We start from the raw sequence: 21274 nt of genomic DNA, 5'->3' as shown, positions 1-21274 counted from the left end.
TGATCTTTGTTAGACCCTTATCAGTAGTTCTGCTTTTTGCCCTTTGAAGCATGTGATCTTTGTACCTACTACCTGTTCTTACACCCCCTTCCCTTTTGAAACCCTTAATAAAAACTTGCTGGTTTGAGGCTCAGGCAGGCATCACAGTCCTACCAATATGTGATGTCACCTCCGGCGGCCCAGCTGTAAAATTCTTCTCTTTATACTGTCTCTCTTTATTTCTCAGCTGGCCGACACTTATGGAAAATAGAACCTACGTTGAAATATTGGGGGCGGGTTCCCCCAATATGGGAGGATTGCTTGAGCCCAGGAAATCGAGGCTACAGTGAGCCATGAGGAAAAGGGAAGAGAAAAAGGAATGGGAAGGGAAAGGGAAAGGAAAGAAAGGAAGGAGAAAATAAGAAAAGGAAAGGAAAAAGAGAAAAAAGGAAGGGGAAGGAAGGATCTTATGAAAGAATACCTATAATATGAATCAATTATATGAAGTTCAGAAACAAGCCAAACTAATTTTATCAGTTAATAGAGAATACATTGGTGGTACGACTAAAAATTAAAAAGAAAAAATATTACAAAAAGCAGCATGTTGCTTATTTGGGGGGTGGCTATTGTGAGCCGGGAGAGGCACACAAAGGTGTGTTGCTTGTATGCTGGCCATATTTCTTTTTTTCTTTTGAGACGGAGTCTCATTCTGTTGCCCAGGCTGGAGTGCAGTGGTGCAATCTTGGTTCACTGCAAGCTCTGCCTCCCAGGTTCGTGCCATTCTCCTGCCTCAGCCTCCCAAGTAGTTGGGACTACAGGCATCCGCCACCAGGCCCGGCTAATTTTTTTGTATTTTTTAGTAGAGATGGAGTTTCACTGTGTTAGCCAGCATGGTCTCGATCTCTCAACCTTGTGATCTGCCCACCTTGGCCTCCCAAAGTGTTGGGACTACAGGCGAAAGCCACCATGCCTGGCCAATGCTGGCCATATTTCTTTACCTGGGTGGTAGTTACGGGGTGTTCACTTTATTCTTTATTACATATATACACTTTATAACATATGCTTCTGTATGTATATCTCACAACAAGTAAGTTTTGTTTTTTTTTTAATTTGAGAATTTTTTAACTTGAGAAACTTGATATAAACAGGTTTAACAAGCTGTGAACTACATTAGGCATCAGACCTGGGGGACTTTTAGAAAAATTAGTAAGGAAGTTTTTTTTAAATTATTGTATCCAACCATAAGGGGTACTCTCCCAATCTAGAAAATTCCAATAAAGCATAAAGATGCTATTTTAGTTCTCAAGCTAAGGTGTCTACAAAGAAAATGCACATTAACAGTAATGAATGGATATAAAACTTCAGAACAAAGTTCTATTTCTTCTAAAGGATAACAATGTAAGACAGTGCTTAAACAGAAAAGTAGATTTGGAAAAAAATATACACGTGTCAGATGAACACAAAACAAGACAAAAATATACAGTAGAAAATTTTCAATAAAATATGCAAACACCCTAATGTTTCAGCTTTTGACTACAGGTTTGCTTGGAGGTTGAGGAAAAGAAAGAGAGGAAGCCAGGCAAGGTGGCTCATGCCTGTAATCCCAGCACTTTGGGAGGCCAAGACAGGCAGATCACTTGAGCCCAGGACCTGGGCAACATAGCAAAACCCAGTCTCTACAAAAATTAGCCAGGCATGCTGGCATATGACTGTAGTCCCGGCTACTCAGGAGACTGAGGTAGGAGGATGGCTTGAGCTTGGGAGGTGGAGGTTTCAGTAAGCTGAGATCACGCCACTGTGCTCCAGGCCTGGGAAACAGGAGCCAGACCCTGTCTCAAAAAAAGAAGAAGAAGAAGAAAGAAGAAAAAAGAGGAAGAAGGAAGAGGAAGAAAGGAGGAGGAAGAGAAGGAAGTAGAGGAGGAGGAGGAGAATTTCCTGTTTAATGATTTGAATCAAACACATCCCAGTTTCTCCTCCTGGGAGGCTGACTCTGCTACCTTAGGGACCCATGGAGGATGTGGACACAGGACGTCCTCACAGCTCTACTACCTAGGAACAGGGATCCTGTGCTTTCTGTCCCTTTTCCTCCTCTCCACACCCAGGCCTCCCTTCGTTGCCCTTCTGTCCACAGATGGAAGCAGGTCCTGAACTCTGCATTTCTTTTTAAATAAAGTAACTATGACAACCTGCTTTATTTATTTTTTTTTTTATTTTTTTTTTTGAGATGGAGTCTTGCTCTGTCGCCCAGGCTGGAGTGCAGTGGCACGGTCTCGGCTCATTGCAATCTCTGCCTCCCAGGTTCATGCGATTCTCCTGCCTCAGCCTCCCAAATAGCTGGACTACAGGTGCCCACCACCACGCCCAGCTAATGTTTGTATTTTTAGTAGAGAAAGGGTTTCACCATGTTGTCCAGGCTGGTTGCAAACTCTTGACCTCAGGTGATCCACCCGCCTCGGTCTTCCAAAGTGCTGGGATTACAGGAGTGAACCACTGCGCCTGGCCCGATGACCTGCTTCTAATTAGAATCACTCCTTTCCTTTCAGAATTTTCCAGAACCTACAAATATTCACTGAGCATGAGGTAGTTTTGTTTCCTAATTAGTTTTAATGGCTGCCCCGAGGCTGGTTCAAATTTGCACTCAGAGCCTGCCTTTGAAGGCTGGAATACTCTCAGTAGCCACTCGTTATGTGGCTATTGACAAACGCAGGGAAACACATACATCCAGAAGAAACTAACATCCCTGCAAAGGTAATGGGATTTAACAATGATTTTATATATTTATTGTGTTATCATTTTCTACCTCTAATTCTCAAAACGTGCTAGTGAGATAAATAATGTATGACTAGGATTATTCAAAAGATGTGTTTCTACAACTGTGGTAGTCTCAAATCATTTTCCCATTGACTTGCATTGTAACTTACAGAGGTGGAGTCTATAGAATTCTGTCTTATTCAGAACACAACCATCTCTTTCAGGTGTGGCACACAGAAGCACTGAGCACATAAGCAGACTCATATAGCAAGGGTCTTTCTGCCTGTGGTAGAGGTAATTTTTTATTTAATTAATTATCCCTACCTAAATCATATACTCATAAACAGAGGCTATGTTTTACTCCAATTTTTATGCTACCTGCAATTCCCACCAGTACCCCTGCACTGAATTAAGTGTTCAATAAGGTACTGAGCATGGCACATTGCCTCAGTTTAGGGAAGTGGGAAACAATAAACATGAACTGAATGAGTTTCTGTGTGTGAACCCCAGGTCAACACCAGCCACTTGGAAGCCCAAGGCTGTGGGCATTTCAGCCCTGTGAGCAAAAGCCACAAGGGCCACAGGTCCACTGCCAAGTTCAGAGAATCACAAAGAGGTGTATTTTCAAGGAAAGCTACTCCCTATTTACTTTATATGGCTGATTTCAATAGCCGATTCTGAGAATATGAACATGTAATTATCTGTACAGAGAGAGGAGGGAATGGAGCTTGCAGACAAACTGCTTGATTAGTAGTTTAAAAGAAAGTGGAAGTTAGCTACTTCTTAGAGTGAATCTACACCTGATACTCAGATATTAAAATACTGTGGTACCATATTGGGGCTCACCAGTATCAAAAGTCAGGTGCCTTCATTAAAAAGGGGGGCATTTTATTTATCAAAGCAACGAAGTCTGAAAGAAATAATAGCCTGTGTCACATGTCACACAGGGTACACAGAAATGAGAGAGTACTTTGGTGATATAATTCAAAAAGACTTAAAATGCTGCAAAACCTTTTGATTCATCAATTCCACTTCTGGAAGTTTATCGTAAGGAAATAATCTTACACTGTGCAAAGACTTGGCTATAAGGATTTCTTATAGCGTTTGTATAAGGGAAAAATATGAGATAATCAGTATGTCCAAACAGGGTATTGGTTGAATAAACGTTGATAAAGACATAAAACAGAATACTATAAAACCACTAATAATTATATGGTAGAAGACTACAAAACAACATGAAAAGACGTTCTCAGGAAGTAAAAAGTAAAATTACATGTTACACTTCCACAATGCTCTGAAAGGGCCTCTGCACACTACTAGATCTTGAGTAAATTACAACAAATGTAATTTTTAATTGCTGGACTTGCAGGAAAGTATAGAAAATCTCTATGGAAGGCACATACACATAAACATAAGGGAAAGCCAGGGTCATCTGACAGGGGACACAAGAGCGGATACAAAACAAGCACTGGAATCGGAATTAGGGTGACCAATAGTCACAGTTTACCCAGAACTGTCCCAGTGTTAGCAATGAAAGTCCCACATCCCAGGAAACCCCTCAGTCCTGGACTAACCAGACAGTTGGTCATTCTATCAGATATCGAGACTTTGGTCCAACCTCTAGGTACAGAGGCTGAACCTGAGTCACACACATTCAGCAGGACTCACAGGCTAAAGTGTCCCACAATTCTAACATCCTTGTATATCAGAGCAAATACAAATCTTAGCTGCATGCAAACTGTCCCAATTTAGGAAATAAGGATTCCCCCAGATAAGGTTCAACCAAAAATCTGTTTACAATTAAAAATTACTAAACACACAAAATAAGTCACCATGAGTTCTCAGTACAAACAACAAATTTAGATCCCCAAATCTTCAGAAACTGAAATAAACAGAACTTTAAATAATTAGGTTTGAAATGTTTAAAGGAATTAGAAAGCAAAACACTATCTAAAATGCCAGAAAGAACCAAATCTTTTAGAAATGAAAAACCTATTCCTTCAATAAAATGCAGTCTACAATTAAGACATCAGCTAAAAAAGGAATTAATGAACTCAATCTAATAGCTCAAGAAATTACCCAATTTTTTTATAGCACAGAGACACAAGGAGATAGAAATATAAGAGATCAAGAGAAATGAAAGATAGATTAAAAAAGGACAAATCTAATTAAAATTCTAAAGGGACAGAACAGAGAAAATGGAAAAGAAATATCTGAAGACATAACAACTGAGAATTTGCCAAAACTGATAAAAAAAAATGCACAGACACAAGAAGCAGCACAATATATGCCACGCAGGAGAAATAAAGAAGAAATCCACACCTGGGCACACTTTAGTAAAAGTGCACAATAAAAACACCAAGAGAAGAGTTCAGAAGTAGCCAAAAGGAAAAGACAGGTGCTTACAAAAGAATGACAATTAGATGACAGAGACATCTCAACAGCGGCACTGGCTGCCAAAATCAATGAAATAGTATCTTCAAAGCACTCAAAGAAAACACAATTATATTCCCAGAAAGATTGTCTTTTAAGAATTAGAGTGAAATAAGAAGACCATTTCAAAAGAATAACAGCTGAAATTTAAGGCCAACTGACCTCGCAATATAACATCTAAACAATATTCTTCAGGTAGAAGGAAAATGTCTCAGAAGGAAGGTCTAAGAAACAACGAAAAAAGAAATTGTTAAATATGTAGGTAAAATTAAACAATGTCTGTTCAAAACAGAACAATAAAGCAGAAACAGCAGACTCATATTAATACACAGTACTTATCAACTTCTAGGTATAGCTCTTAATGCTTTATAGGTACTATATTTCTCATTGAAAAGCCTTAGCCTTATGAGAAAGATCCTTTTGTTGTCCACATTTTATAGGTGAGGAAATTGAGGCACAGGCAGGTTAAATGCTTGCCCGACACTATCCGGTAGGCAGCAGAGCTGGGTGTCACACCAGGCTGCCGGTTTCAGTTTCTAGTTTATGTGCTTAACCACTAGACTGTGTCTATGACAAATGTGGGGGGGAAGGTAGAAAACTAAAAAATAAAAAAAAGACAATTTGATCAAACAAGGATGACCAGAGCCAAAAGTACTCTAAGGCCTTTATATTGTTTTAGAAGGATAGTTAAAATACTCAACCTTATACTTAATTATCTTAGGTAAGCATGGTAAAATTTAAAGGGCAATCACTAAAAAACTAGAAATAAAGTATAAAACTTCTAAATCACTGGAGGGGTAAAAACAGAAGGGAGGTGGGAGCAGGGGAGACCAAAATCAATCCCCTAGAAAGAGAAAAACAATACAAAAGGAAAAATAAATGAAAATGTACAAAGCTTCTGCACAGCAAAGGAAACAATCAACGAAGTAGACATAATCCACAGAATGGGAGAAAACATTTGCAAAATTATTCATCCAACAAAGGATTAACAACTAGAATATATAAGGAACTCAACAGCAAAAGACATTCTGATTTGAAAATGGGCAAAGGATCTGAAAAGACATTTCTCAAAAGGAGACAACAAATGGAGAGCAGGTACATGAAAAAGTGCTCCACATCACTATCATCAGGGAAATGCAAATCAAAACCACAAGCAGATGTCTTCTCACCCCAGTTAAAATGGCTATTACTAAAAGAGTCAGAAAATAACAAATGCTGATGTGGATGCTTGAGCCCAGGAGATCGAGATCAGCCAGGGCAACACAGTGGGACCCCGTTTCTACAAAAAATTTTAAAATTAGCCAGCATGGTGGCATGCGCCTATGGTCCCAGCTACACAAGAGACTGAGGTGGGAGGATGGCTTAAGTCTAGGAGGTGGGGGCTGCAGTGAGCCATTAATCACGCCACTACACTCCAGTGACAGGGTGAGACCCTGTCTCAAAACAAAACAAAACACTTCTTGGCTATAGCAAAGGTGGTATTTTGAAAGAAAATTCATTGCCTTAAATGCTTATGTTAGTCTGGGCATGGTGGATTACATGTGCAATCCCAACACTTTAGGAGGCCAGGGTGGGAGGACTGCTTGAACCTAGGAGTTCAAGACCATCCTGGGCAACACAGTGAGACCCCGTCTCTACAAAAAATTAAAAAATCAGCCAGGCATGGTGGCACATGCCTGTGGTCCCAGCTTCTCAGAAGGCTGAAGTAGGAGGATCACTTGAGCCCAGGAGGTCAAGGCTGAAGTAAGCCATGATTGCACCACCGTACTCCAGCCTGGACCACAAAATGAGACGCTGTCTCAAAAAACAAAACAAAACAAAACAACAACAACAACTTATGTTATAAAAGAAGAAACTGTTATAAAATGTTATAAAACTTATGTTAGAAAAGAAAACATGTTATAAATTAAGGGGCTAAACATTCAACTTAAAGAAGTTAGAAAAGTACAGCATAAACCAAAAGAGAGTAAAGGAAGAAGATAGTAAAAACAGAAATTAAATAAATAAAAAGAAAAAAAAATTAGACAAGCTAAACAAAGCCAAACACTGATTCTTTGCAAAATGTAATCAAAGACACAAAGCTCTGGCAAGATAGATAAAGACAGAGCAGCACAAATAAATACTGACAATGAAAAGAGGGCTACAACTAACTACAGACACCATGAAACTTAAGATAAAATAATACCATGAACAACTTAATGTTATAAAATTAGATAACATATGAAATGAGTAAATTCCTAAGAAACACAATTTAACAAAACTACCTCAAGAAGAAAGACAGTCTAAATTGTTCTATAACCACTAAAGAAAATGAATCTGTAGTTTAAAATCATCCCACAAAGAAATCAGGCCATATAGTTTACAAACGAGTTCTACCAAACATTCAGGAATAGCCTACAGCAGTATTACACAAACTCAATCAGAATATTTAAAAAGTGATAATAGCCACAACTAGTTCTAAGAGGTTATTAGAAAATCTGTTTGTCTACTAATTAGAAATATAATCTATTAGATATAATTCATCATACTAAAAGAGTAAAGAGCAGGGAAAAAGATTATTGCAATACAAGCAAAAAAGTATCCTAAAATTCAACACTCATGGCTGGGCGCGGTGGCTCACGCCTGTAATCCCAGCACTTTGGGAGGTCGAGGAGGGTGGATCACGAGGTCAGGAGATCGAGACCATCCTGGCTAACACGGTGAAACCCCGTCTCTACTAAAAATACAAAAAATTAGCTGGGCGTGGTGGCGGGTGCCTGTAGTCCCAGCTACTCCGGAGTCTGAGGCAGGAGAATGGCGTGAACCCGGGAGGCGGAGCTTGCAGTGAGCCGAGATCACGCCACTGCACTCCGGCCTGGGCGACAGAGTGAGACTCCTTCTTAAAAAAAAAAAATTCAACACTCATTTTTTTTTTAGATTCCAAATTAGGAAGAGAATTTCCTTTTTCTGATAAAGGATATTTACCTACAATCTATAGCAAACATCATATTTAAGAATTAAGATAAAGATGTCTGTATCATGCTGTGCTAGAAATCCCAGACAAAGTAGAAAGATGAGAACCCTACTACCACACAGTACTGGAGGTCCGAGCTACCACAGAAGACAACAAAAATCAATATAAGGTATAGGAAGATTGGAAAGAAAGAAAACAAACCACCTAGGCTGAAATCCCAAACAAACTGGACATGCAAATTATTAAAGGTGATTTCATAAATGTTATGTCATTTAAGACAGCCATATAAAAGGAATCATTATTCCCATTTTCTCTATGAGGAAATAGAGGCTCAGAAAGGTTTTGAGCAACTTGCCTGAAGTTGAAGTCCCCCCAGCATATTAAGTGCTGAAGCCAGAATTCAAACCAATTGATAATTTCAGTGCTCTTCACCGTAGACCACATGACCTCCCCTCAGTTAATATTCACCCGTTTTGCCAGTGGGCTAAAGGACAGCTGCAATAGTATCATTTGCCACTTTAAAAACAGTCACTTGGTCACATTCACTGGCTAAGAACACCCTCCTCAGCCTGGCATTCAAGGGCCTTCACAGAAGGGCCATACACCTACCTATTGTGCCAGTCTTGTCTTCCACCAGGGTCCTCTATAAAAATTACTCTCCTTTCAAAGTATGAATATATTTACTGCCTGGACTAAGCTCCAAGCTAATCCATCCAAGTACAATGCTCATCCCAAATTCCCCCAACTTTAGCCATCTTTCATGATGCAGCTTCGACATCACCGATTCCATAAATCCTTGCCAGTTCCTCCCTAGTAAGTATGGTCTTCTACAGCAAATGTTTCTATCTTAAGTTGCTCATTCAATTCTACACCATATTATAAGTATTTGAGCCCTTATCATCCGTGCTAACTTGGGAATTACTTAAGGGTAAGGACTTTTAAATGTCTATTCATCAAGACATCTAGCAAGCAAAATGTACGTATATATTACGTATTCAATAAATGCATGTTCAGTTGAATAAAAGTGCTTTTATTTGTATACGGTGTTAAAACTGTTCTACTCTAGAAACAAATGACCCTACATAGGAATAAAAATACTTTTCCAATGATGTCGTAAATTATATTATTTTATAGGCCAATAAACTACAGGAGAAGTCTTTTTACTGCCACGACAGAAATAAACACTACACATGCATATGTCTGGCCACGCAAATGCTAGATGGAGCTTAACAACTCCATTCACCCTGTAATTTGAACCCAGATCTGTATGGATCTCAAACCCATATACTCCAGGTTGGCCTCTCCTCTTCACTGTAAACATCCCATTGTGTTCTAAGATTTACTACCTGGTTTATCTTCCCTACTACAATATGAACCTTCTGAGGGCAAGAAATAATGCCTTCATCACTGAATCTCCAGACCTAGAAAAGAACTCAGTAAATATCTGTTGGCAAATGACCATTAAATGTAGGAAGAAGCCCAACATGCTGACCCCTTCCAAAAGCATTACTGTGCGTCCTCACAAAAGAATAAAGAGATGAACTCAAGTGGGAAATTACAAGTCCTATTATGTTCACTATCTTCTCATTAAGAAGGAAATAGCATATTTTAGAAAATTTTCCACTGAAAGAGCTGAAATAAAAATTTGGGGTTCTTAAAAAGCTAAATTCTAGTCATCTAAAACACTGCAGTCTTGGATGGCAATAAACCCATAGAGCATAATTAAACAATAAAATTTGTCTTGAATTACTAATAAATACCATTACAATAAGAGTTCCAAGTAGCTAAAAATATCCCCAAGCTCCTGCCAATGTCCCACAGTTACAGTGTTTAAGTGATATCATCATACTGAAATTTACTAGGAATACAAGACCAGTAAGACAAGATCTTTTCACAGACCCATGGTAACACAGAAAATTTCAACTAGTCTATGATCTAGCATGTATACAAGAATAAACAAGTTTAGATGTAATAAAAAGTTTACTCTCGTGGTTACAGGTACAGAGGAAATTACTAAACACAATCCATTTCCTTTATAAAACAGAAGAAACACAGAAATAATTGCGAGAGAAAACAAAGGCTATGGCAAAACAATTCTGCATTACTTCTACCACCACATTCCATATTCCAGAAAATTATTATATCTGTACAAAGAAAGGTACAATTGATTTTGATAAATCTGAATTTTAGAATGTCTTTTGGATTATTACTTAGAATTCTTAAAGCTTAACTAGCACAAATTTCAGTAAATTTTTTAACTTACAATTTCAAGTTCTTTCCAAAAAAAACTGAATTGAATGAATTGCAACAGATAATGGCAGTTTGTAATTTTCCTAATTTTTTACAGCCAAATATTTTCATGAATACCTATATATTGTTAAACTAAAATGAAAACAAAACACCAATTTACATCATGATGAGTAAATCTGTTTTCACATCTGCTGCCATCTTTTTTACTTGCAAAAATAATCCCCTGGCATTTTCATGTTTTTCATATAGAAAGGACTCAAATGGAGAGCTGAAACGCAGCCAGCAACCGAACAGAGCCCTGGCTATAGCCCAGCCACAGTTGGGTTCTATGGGAGGGATGAATTCCAAGTGATTCCTTCTTGGTTCTGATGGTAAGCAGAAGTGCCTGACCCTCGGCCAACAGATGGACAGGGAAGACACAGAGAGCACACCCACATTGTCCATCTAGGCCAGAGATCAGGGCAGGGCAGGGCAGGGCGACAGGGGAACAAAGCTAACAATGGACCCGTGCCCATACAAATGGATGCACTTCCAATCCTAATACATGTGCTTACAACTACATGGAAGCGGCTGTGAGCTATTCATTCAATGATTTCCAACATACAGAGAGAATCTCAGGGTGGTGAACAGTACTCACAAACAGGCCTGGTACAGAAGGAATGAGCAGGCCTGTACTGTAAGGCAAACCACAGCAGGAATTCAGGTAGGAATCATCAGTCAGAGACTGAAGGGGCAGAATACAGATGTCAACATCATAAATGGCCAGCAAAAGTGTTTCCTTACGTTGCCAAAACTCTCGCATAATGACTTTTTGGACAGAAATATTCTTGTTTCCTCATTACAATGGAACTACTGTGATTAATCCAGCAACAATAAACAAATAATATGTTGTTTATTGTTAATAAACAACATATTATTTGTTATAAAGAATTGTTTATTGTTGCTTAACAACAACAAAAAATCTACTAACAGACCAGTCCAAGACTAGACAACATAAAGCTAACATAAAAATACAAAATCTGGACCCTGAACGTAAACTGTTCACAATCTGTTAGGAAGGGGAAATTCACATACATGAAATAATCAGAGAACAATTAAGAGTGAGGGTGTGAAGCTCTGTGTAGGGCTTGAACAATCAAAGACCTTGAGAATCATACCAGCAACAGAAAAGTGTTGAACCCGAAAAGCAGGAGAACTGGGTCCTTGTACTATCTGTGATCATTAAAGACGAAGACAAAGGAAGAATAGACATATCTGAGGCAGAAAACATGCTGGTTAACCTTTCATAGCCACAGAAACCCTGTGAGGTAGGTATCATCCCCATTCCACAGGCAAGGAAACCGAGGCTCACACCTCGGGCAAGTTACTTAACCACTGTGGTCTCAGTTTTTTCATTTGTAAAATCCAGGAATTAACATAATCAGCAGTTTTCAAACTGGGACCAGCCAAGCACCAGTTTTCTAGCATTGACTGAGAGCCCTGAAGTGGGCAGGGCTGCAGGCCAAATGTACCAAAGCCTCTGGTCAGCAGCTCAGTACCTATTTCTCCACATAATGTTTTGCCATTATAACCACAGCACTGAGAACAGCACTCAGTATATAATGGGTGGTCAGCTAAAAAGTGAGGAATGAACGAATCAAGCAGATGGCACGTCATCACTGACTTTAAGCTGACTCTCATTCACGGCGGCTCATTTCCTTATATGTCTAGCAATGTTTCTATCGTCAGCATATCCCCAGCTCTTCAGCAGCGGGTAGAGGGTAGCATTCTTCTTGAAAGGATTTGCATTTCTTTCTTTCTGCCAAGCAGCCCTGGGCTCTTCCAACTCAGAAGCATTTAGATTCGTTTCTCAGCTTGGGGTTTTCCAGACCATGCAGGTAGCATTAATTCAAATCCCAAGCCAAACAGTCTCAAAAGAGACTTTTTCTTTTTAACTCCATTTGCTGATGGATGTTTTTGTTTTGTTTTCCAGCCTGGTCTCCATCTGGCCTGAATGAGTCCCAGGCCCCGGCCTTCAGTGCTCACTTCCCAATTCAGTTTTAGACCTTCTGTCTCCCAAAAACACTCACTCCTCTTTCTCTTTTTCCCCACCTATGGATTTTTCTCACTTTCTTTTGATAAAGACTTTTAACGGATGTTTGCTGTATCTTTTGCAGTATTTCTAAGGGCTTAGAGTAGGAGAGTTTTCCAGAATATATGGTCAGCCTCATTTATAGGAGGGTCCATTATCTACCACTTTTCACTTTGGATGTGGTTTAGAAATCATTCCCTGAGGTTAAATGGGCGCAGAAACTACATAAGCCGTCAAAGGAGAGGAGGACACCCCAGGGGACTCCCAGAGGGTGAAGAAAAACACAAGCAGCCAATACAAGAGAGAGGCTGAAGCTGGCTGGGGTGGAGGAGGAGCCTGAGGTGCAAGAAGCAGACCTGCTGAAGCAGAAGGCTGGAGGCAGTTTATTTCCTAGTGAAAGGAGACCAACTTGCACTTTAACAGTTAGTTCTGAAGGATGACTGGTAGGTAAGTGAATATAATGATTCTATTTACTGGTACTTCCACCAATAAAGAGGACAGTTTAAGAACACAGTAGTATCACTTGCATATATAATTCTATAAGGACAAGCACACAGATCCAAAGTTGAATCAAATTCAGGCAGGAAACAGCACACAGGAAACCCCAAGTACAAGGAACTAAGATGAATGAAGGGGACGCTGTGCTCTGCCTGCTGTAAAGTGCTAAGATTCAGAGCACAAGCCAAAACCTTACCTTTTACACAAGAATTTTGTTATACAGAGTGGAAAATAAGTGAACTACCACCAGGGGCTTCGAAACATTTATTATTCTGATTCAATTATTATTGAATGTAGCTAGACATAGTGTTTCAAAATTTCTAAAAATGATTTTCTTTTATTACAACAATAACCATTTATGGAAGATATTAATAGTTACAAGTTGGCAAAATGAGGCTAAAAGAAGCCATAGAGCCATGGTGGCGGCACTGTATCTAGGTTCTTACAGATGAACGTCTTTATAGGGTTTTTTTTTGTTTTTTTTTTTTTGAGACGGAGTCTTGCTCTGTCACCCAGGCTGCAGTGCAGTGGTGGGATGTCAGCTCACTGCAACCTCTGCCTCCTGGATTCAAGCGATTCTCCTGCCTCAGCCTCCTGAGTAGCTGGGACTACAAGTGTGTGCCACCACCATGCTCAACTAATTTTTGTATTTTTAGAGGTGGGGTTTCACCATGTTGGCCAGGCTGGTCTCGAACTGACCTCAAGTGACCCGCCCGCCTCGGCCTCCTAAATTACTGGGATTACAGGTGTGAGCCACCGCACCCAGCCCATAGATTTTCATATAATATAACGTTCTGTATATGAAATAATTAAAATAATTCTAGACAGAGAAAGGGTTACCATGACATGGGGTTCATCAAGAAAGCATCTGTGGTCCTGGAAGATCCAGATGCCTGCTTTACACAGGTGTTATTACAATTAACACCAACAAGAATAAAAACTGTCAGGGAAAATTCAGTTGATTCTTGACTACTACCATGCCCTATAGGTACACAAATATAACATGAGAAAATTAATGGCAGGATTTAAATCTCGTAGCCGTTCTTCCCAGAAACTAGCATTACCTCAAATCAAAGAGTAGACACCGGGTAGCAGGAAAAAAGATAATGATCCAAATGTCCCCTTAACCCACATTTCAGTCAAAGGTTATAATCACAGCTGGACATAATGAACATTAGTTTGGGGTTCAGCAATGATTTATATCATCTAGTTCTTAGAGGGAATTCATATTCACTTATCAAAAGCTTACCTTTTAGAAGTAACAAATCAGTTCTATTTCCTTCAAGTTCTTATACCACAAATTTAAGATCTTCACAAAATAGTATTTGTGCACCTAAACGTGGAGATACTCAGCTTGACCCAGGACTAAACGAGAAAGAAAAATTAACTAGGGTTAGCGAGAAAAGGTTCCAGAAGCAAAAAGCATAAATTCAAAGTACTTAAAAATGAACATGCACTGTTGTTTTAAAGAATCTATTAGAAACATGACTCTTTCCGAGAAGAATATAAAGCACCTAATTAAAAGCACATACAAAATAAGACTGTTTATAATAACTTTTAAAAGGAAAAATAGAGCTAAGAAAAAGAAGACAGCAAAAATGTTAATGCAAACTATAAAAAACTTGGCCTGAAGTATACTCTTCATCAGGGCAAAGAGAGACTCAGGATAGATTACACAAATCTTATCAGAAATGAGGAAACTGACTAGTTAGCCAGGAAAAATGTTTTTCCCAGTATTAAATTTTGAAGAAAAGTCACCAATGAAGCACTACGGAAGAGTCATCAGATGGTGGAAGGGACAAAGACAATAATCTCACACAAATGTAAAAACAGGGTTTACAATTATTTCCTATAGCAAACATGAATAAAAGCTTAACATTAATGGGTAACTCAGTAAAAGCAGTGTTTTAAGGGCTAGGTTAATGTGGTCCAAAACATGCTATGAACAAAATAGAAAAGAGAACCTGTCCTTCCCCTTCTCCCTAAAAATCATGACTCTTAATGAGGCCAGCTAACAAGCTAAGGATTGGTTCTAAGGCTCGGCACTGCATTTACCCACCTCCCTGCTTCGCTGTGAAATGTAACCACCTGCCCCCATCAACCCTTCTGGCTAATGGAAGGATAAAAACCGGAATGGAAATGCCTCACTACATTTAGGCCAGTTCTGTAAATAAATAAATAAATAAAAACTAAGGTGACCAGCTGGCCAACATAGTGAAACCCCATCTCTACTAAAAATACAAAAAATTAGCCAGGCATGGTGGTAGGCGCCTGTAATCCCAGCTACTCGGGAGGCCGAGGCAGGAGAATTGCTTGAACCCAGGAGGCGGAGGTTGCAGTGAGCAGAGATCGTGCCACTGCACTCCAGCCTGGGCAACAAGAGCAAAACTCCGTCTCAAAAAAAAAAAAAAAATTACGGCAGGAATTTCAACCTAGGATTTAAGTCTGAATTACCTCGCTGAGATACCAGTAAAATGCATGGAAACAAATGAGATGTTCTTTCTCCTTCTGCCTTTTTAAATATCCCTCCGATAACACCCACAAAGTGAGGTGGTTCACCCTGGCCCCCTGTCATAATCCATTCACCCCAGTCATTTGCCCAAAGAAATGAGAGTGCAAAAGCTACAAGTGAGTTATTACTCCTCACGTTTAATGTAAGGTATCTGCTATTCATTTCTTTTTAAATAAAATATTTTTTAAAAATAAAGATCAACTAAATTTATTTATCCATCCATCTGTCCATTTATTCATTCACTGTGCAAACACTTGAGTGCCGAACATCCCAGGCACTGTGCTAAGCAGAATAAAACAGCCTTAACTTTCTAATTTAGATGACAAATTACAGCATTTCTCTCTCCCAATTTAAACAGTTAAAAGAGTGCACCTTTCAAAGACCATTAGAATGTGAGACTTTCTTCTGCATGGGTCCTCAAATACAAAATCATATCTTCAATTAATCACCCAACTATCACCACTCCATAAGGAAAGCTAGGCTTGCAGACTTGTCTCAGCAGCCAACAGTTAGACAGCTGCACAGACACTGAGGCAGGGCCTCATTTAAGTGGAAATCAAACTATGCAGGGACTCCTCCTGACCAGTTTTCTCCTTTGGCATGAGGCACTTGTTAATTTCACTGAAGAATTTCTGTAAGAAACTAATTTTCACAACAAAAATAAAATCTATATTCAGGTAGCCACTTGTACCAAAACGCTAATAAAATAGATTCCTGGTAAAGAAAAATGAAGAAAAGATAACTTTAAATAACCAGGGAGGAAAAGGTAATAAATGATCAGTTGAAATATCAAAAATAAAAAGGCAATTAAAAAAAGATAAAATGGCATGAATGCATAGTATCATGGACTTGGCATGGCTTCAATTATTCATTTTTTAATGTATAAGTTTTTTTTAAGTGTATTCATATTACACTGGTCTTGCTACCATGGTAAGATTAATGCTATACTACAATTCTAATTAAAATTCATACTGAGGCCCAACTCTCAACATTCACGTTGATAAATAAAAGGAAATGGCGATGGAATACACGAGAAATACGCAACTTTCCTTCTTACCAAACTGTCAACTTTAACTTCCCAGTTATGGATGGAGAAAGTCAAACCCTCACGTCTACCGTGGTGCATCTCGTCTATCCACGCAGTTAGTGGCACACGTTTAGCCGCGCCGTAAAGAAGCATCACCTCACTTCACAACTGTGTTCTGAAATAAGCCCTCTGGTCTAGGGAAAAACCATCTAAGCAGAGGTTCACATGCTGAATTCCAAGCCAAACACGTATCAAGTGTTCACAGCTGTCTGCTGTTTTGAGAACTTCTTGGAAGAGAATGAATAGGTCTGCTGTATATCTCACTAAGAGTGAAGAGGACCTACACCATTCTAGCGGGGAGGAGGAGGAAAGAGGCCAAGGACACGTTCCCAATTACGCTATCGTCAAATGGCTGGCCTGGGAGAGAGAGAGTCTCCATTTTCTTTTCTCTTTTTTTCTTAACATAATTAATCAGATATTAAACACAGATGAAGTAATTTGAAACTAATTTTTGTACGATGTAAGCCATGTGTTAAAGATTTTCCTCATAAATGTACATAGCTATCATAAACTGAGGCTAGAAATTATCTTCTAAATGTATTAGTGTCAAACAGAATATTACCGTCTTCCCATGACATTAAGATCAGAACACAGCAGTGAAGGGAAAAGAACATATTTTCATTCTATCATACTTGAGCTGAAATCATAAAGACGTACTAAAGCAATTTAAGTGTGAATTTAACAGTATCTTTTAAAAGTTTAAACTAGACGGTAGAAAGCATATATAATTTAAGTTCTGAATTCTGAATATCTACTTATTGTTCTACATTTTCAAAAACTATAGCCAGGCCGGGCGCGGTGGCTCAAGCCTGTAATCCCAGCACTTAGGGAGGCCGAGGCAGGCGGATCACGAGGTCAGGAGATCGAGACCATCCTGGTTAACATGGTGAAACCCTGTCTCTACTAAAAATACAAAAAAAAAAATTAGCCGGGCATAGTGGCAGGCGCCTAGTCCCAGCTACTCGGGAGGCTGAGGCAGGAGAATGGCGTGAACCCAGGAGGCGGAGCTTGCAGTGAGCCGAGATCACGCCACTGCACTCCAGCCTGGGGGACAGAATGAGACTCCGTCTCAAAAAAAAAAAAAAAACAAAAAAAAACAACAACTATGGCCAGTATTCTGGATCCCCATGGGGCCTACGTAAAGAAAGCTAAACTCACCCAGGAAAGCTCCCCAAATAGAGACTGCAACTTACCTCCAGCTCTCCTTCCTTTCACTGGTTCTACAACAGTGCCCTAAACATAGGAGGTCCTCTAAAAGTATTTGTTCAATAAGATGCTTAAAGGGGAAAAATATCAGAATCAAATAAAGAATACTTGCTGGCACCTATTAAAAAACAAAATAAACTAATAAAATAGGTAAAATGATCAAGAAGAAAATAATCCCACTATTATCAGAGCAACTGTTCTTCTCAACTTACGATGTCAAAATGTTCTCAAATAACATCAAACAAAAAGAATTATCAAAGTTAACATTACATTTTTTTCTAGGAAAGATCTAAGTATATGTATTGAAAATTAAGCTTTTCGATCAATTTAATCAACATGAGCATACAGATAATAGTTTAGTACTACTAATAAAAATATCTTTTGGAAAGTGCTGGATCATTTTACACTAAAGCATATAGCCAAAAAAAAAAAAAACTAGTATTTTCTTCTACATTTCCCCTCTAAACACTACAAAATGCACTACATCAAAACAATTGTATGGAAAGATACAGTACTAGACTTGCTCTTTGTGAAGCTGTATTGTCAATACAGCTCATTGTACCACACAGTACAGGCCAGACACCTTTAGCAGTCTCAAAGGAGCTGTGAAAACACAGACCTTACACTTTCCCCAATACTTCATCTAATGCAAACAGAGGGCAGTCCACTTGACCGACATGCAACAGACTTAAGATCCCTTGAAGCCCAGTTATTCCGTGCCTATGATGATGAATTTAGCACAAGAGGAAGGGAGTCCACATTCACCTCCACCTATGCTGAGAGAACCCAACAAAAGCTTGAGCCTGGGCTCTGGTTCAAAGGCCACAGCAGCAAAAGAAGTCAAGAGAATTCCAGGGATGAGGTGATGGGAGTTGATATGATGCTCTCTGAGTGAAGGAAACAGAGTTGCCTCAAGCCAAGCTTGAGATGGCCCAGAAAGACCACAAAGGTTACTGCTGCCAGAAAAAGAAAAGAAGGGATATCTCTGGTACCTGGGACTGTTACAGGGAGTTGTTTCAGAATATCTGCATCACTGAAGGACATCATCTCAAGAAGTCCCCGAATTAAGATCTGATATTTAAGGTGCAAAGTGACAGCTTCCACACAAAGGCCAAAAGTTACCCTCCAGGCCACCAGAAACTCAGTGTAACCAAGCCTAGTGTGACACTAGAAACAAGACAACTACCTACACGAGCCACACTGAGCAGGAGGGAGGGATGGGGCAAGAGTTGTTTTGGCTACTGTGGCCAAAGCTAATCCTTGCTCCTGGTGGCCCTAACATAAATCTCCCCAATTAACCCACGGACTATGTTGTTAAAGTCTTCTTACAAACAGGTTGTTCAGAATTCTGAAAAAATATTTCTAGAGAAGTAATGTCATAAGCATTATCATTGCTACACAGGCTAATCTGTAAAAGTCATTTTAACCCATGATGTACTTGGGCTGCAACACCAAAAGTAATTTCTCTGATACTCTTTAATAGCTACAAAGAAATCTCATTTTCCTGACCTCCCTGACTGAGAGGTCATTAAAGATGACATTCAAGACCAAGAGACAGACCTAGCATAAATAGATGCTGTAGGGCTGGGCATGGTGGCTCACGCCTGTAATCCCAGCACTTTGGGAGGCTGAGGCATGAAGATTGCTTGAGCCCAGGAGTTTGAGACCAGCCTGGGCAAAATGGTGAAAAACTGTCTCTAATAAAAATACAAAAAATTAGCCAGGTGTGGTAGCACGCGCCTGTAGTCCCAGCTACTTGGGAAGCAGAGGTGGGAGGACCACCTGAGCCTGGGAAGTTGAGGCTGCAGTGAGCCATGATTGCACCACTGCACTTAAGCCTGTGAAACGGGAACAAGACCCTATCTCAAAAAAGAAAAACAGAAAAAAGGAAAAAAAGACCAAAAAAAAAGAAGACCAGCAGAGGTCTTGGCAAACAAACAAACATGTGGGTTCTAATAAGTTAGGCCTTCTCTATTTCCATAATACCTTGGTATTATTATTAGCAAATATACTATATATTTATGCAATATACATTTATGTAAATATACTGCTTGCATAACACCTTGGTAGGTCTGCAGAGAAGGCAGTGCTGGTTTGCACCCACCACTTCCCAATTATTCTGAATTTAAAAACAGAGTGCTGGGCAAAGGGACCCTATGACACAAGGGTGTCAAGCTGGCACCATCTATATTGACCTACTGTCACCTAAATAAGTTATGAACTCAGTACAACAGTTCTGAGAGTCATGTTTACCATTCCATTGTCAACTAAGAACACGTTTTTGTTGCTTTAGAAGAAGGAGGAGTTTGTGACCAGTGTGAGACTCCATGTCTACTATAAAAAAAAAAAAAATTAGCCAGGGGGTGGTTGCACACCTGTAGTCCCAGCTACTTGAGAGACTGAGACGGGAGGATGACTTGAGCCCAGGAGTTTGAGGCTGCAGTGAGCTATGATCATGCCACTGCACTCCAGCTTGGGTGTCAGAGCAAAACCTTGTCTCAAAAAAAAAAAAAAAAGAAAGAAGAAGAAAGAAGGAAGAAGAAAAAGTCTCCCAGCCGGGCGCAGTGGCTCACGCCTGTAATCCCAGCACTTTGGGAGGCCAAGGTGGGCAGATCATTCGAGGTCAGGAGTTCGAGACCAGCCTGCCCAACATGGTAAAACCCCGTCTCTACTAAAAACACAAAAACTAGCCGGGCATGGTGGCGCGCACCTGTAATCCCAGCTACTTGGGGGGCTGAGACAGGAGAGTCGCTTAAACTCTTGCAGCGGAGGTTGCAGTGAGTTGAGGTTGCACCACTGTACTCCAGCCTGAGTGACAGAGCAAGACTGCCGTAACAAAAAAAAGAAGAAAAAGTCTCCCTAGTTTATTACAGTCTTTACTCCTGCTCAATATTTAGAAAGTATATCTGAACTGTATACTCCTATATTCACAGCAGGGGCCTACCCTCCCTCAGTACTTTCACAGAATGACACTTCTTTGAAAGTCACAGGGTCTTAAATAAGATGACGAGTTACTGTCCTCCACAGCAGAACTACAAACAAGATCTTAATTTGCTAAGTTATTGTTTATTTACTAATATTACCCCAAATTCTACGTTTTTGCTTACTACAGAAATTCTCATAAGACCTATTTCCTTGGGCTCCATGCTGACAGGTCTGGTTACTGAAGAAAATGAAAGAACTTGCCATTAGTGTAGTTATGTACATCAAGGTGGGTTCAAAGGAATCTCTAGGGACAGTGACAAAGCGCTGCCGTGGGTTAGAATGGGCATTGAGAGCTAAAGAAAGTAGTAACTGTGGCCATCCAGACGGCTAGACTTGTTGCTCAATTTGCAAATCAGTGCCAGGAGAATATGAATTGGTGAGGGTCAGTGTGGGACCTTGAAGATTACCATCTCCCATGGTCTTTCACAGGCAGGAATATGGCCAAACCCTCTCAGGCTCAGCTTCTCTCCCTGTATGTCCCTGGCCAGTTTTCTTCCACTATCCACAGAACCATCAGAATCACCACAGTTTCGACAGCAGCAGCCTCAT

The 21274-nt window shown here is 39.8% G+C and overlaps 1 protein-coding gene across 12 annotated transcripts in view, besides 2 other annotated features; it reads right to left on the bottom strand.

The window, feature by feature from the left end:
• Nucleotides 1-21274, bottom strand: part of TULP4 (TUB like protein 4) — a 279634-nt gene that overhangs the window by 215266 nt on the left and 43094 nt on the right. For 8 of the 12 annotated variants that reach the window (XM_047419087.1, XM_047419084.1, XM_047419081.1 and 5 more), the window contains one exon: nucleotides 14185-14300. The exons of 3 other annotated variants lie outside the window; for them this stretch is intronic. The gene's annotated coding sequence lies outside the window, so the exon portion shown is untranslated. Of the gene's footprint in view, nucleotides 1-14184; nucleotides 14301-17727; nucleotides 17811-21274 lie in introns of all 12 variants that reach the window. One more of the 12 variants, XM_047419082.1, reaches the window with a different exon arrangement.
• Nucleotides 5599-5648: a silencer, noted in NCBI's record as "silent region_17738". NCBI's record gives its function as "represses an Ori minimal core promoter by ATAC-STARR-seq in GM12878 lymphoblastoid cells {active_cell/tissue: GM12878}" and the evidence as "EXISTENCE:reporter gene assay evidence [ECO:0000049][PMID:35858748]".
• Nucleotides 10350-11064: an enhancer, noted in NCBI's record as "H3K27ac hESC enhancer chr6:158706531-158707245 (GRCh37/hg19 assembly coordinates)". NCBI's record gives its function as "activates a minimal SCP1, AML or CMV promoter by ChIP-STARR-seq in primed H9 embryonic stem cells {active_cell/tissue: H9 hESC(primed)}" and the evidence as "EXISTENCE:reporter gene assay evidence [ECO:0000049][PMID:30033119]".

This window comes from Homo sapiens, chromosome 6 (genome assembly GCF_000001405.40).
Source record: "Homo sapiens chromosome 6, GRCh38.p14 Primary Assembly".
NCBI lineage: Eukaryota > Metazoa > Chordata > Mammalia > Primates > Hominidae > Homo > Homo sapiens.
This window is presented reverse-complemented; position numbering and strand designations above follow the sequence as displayed.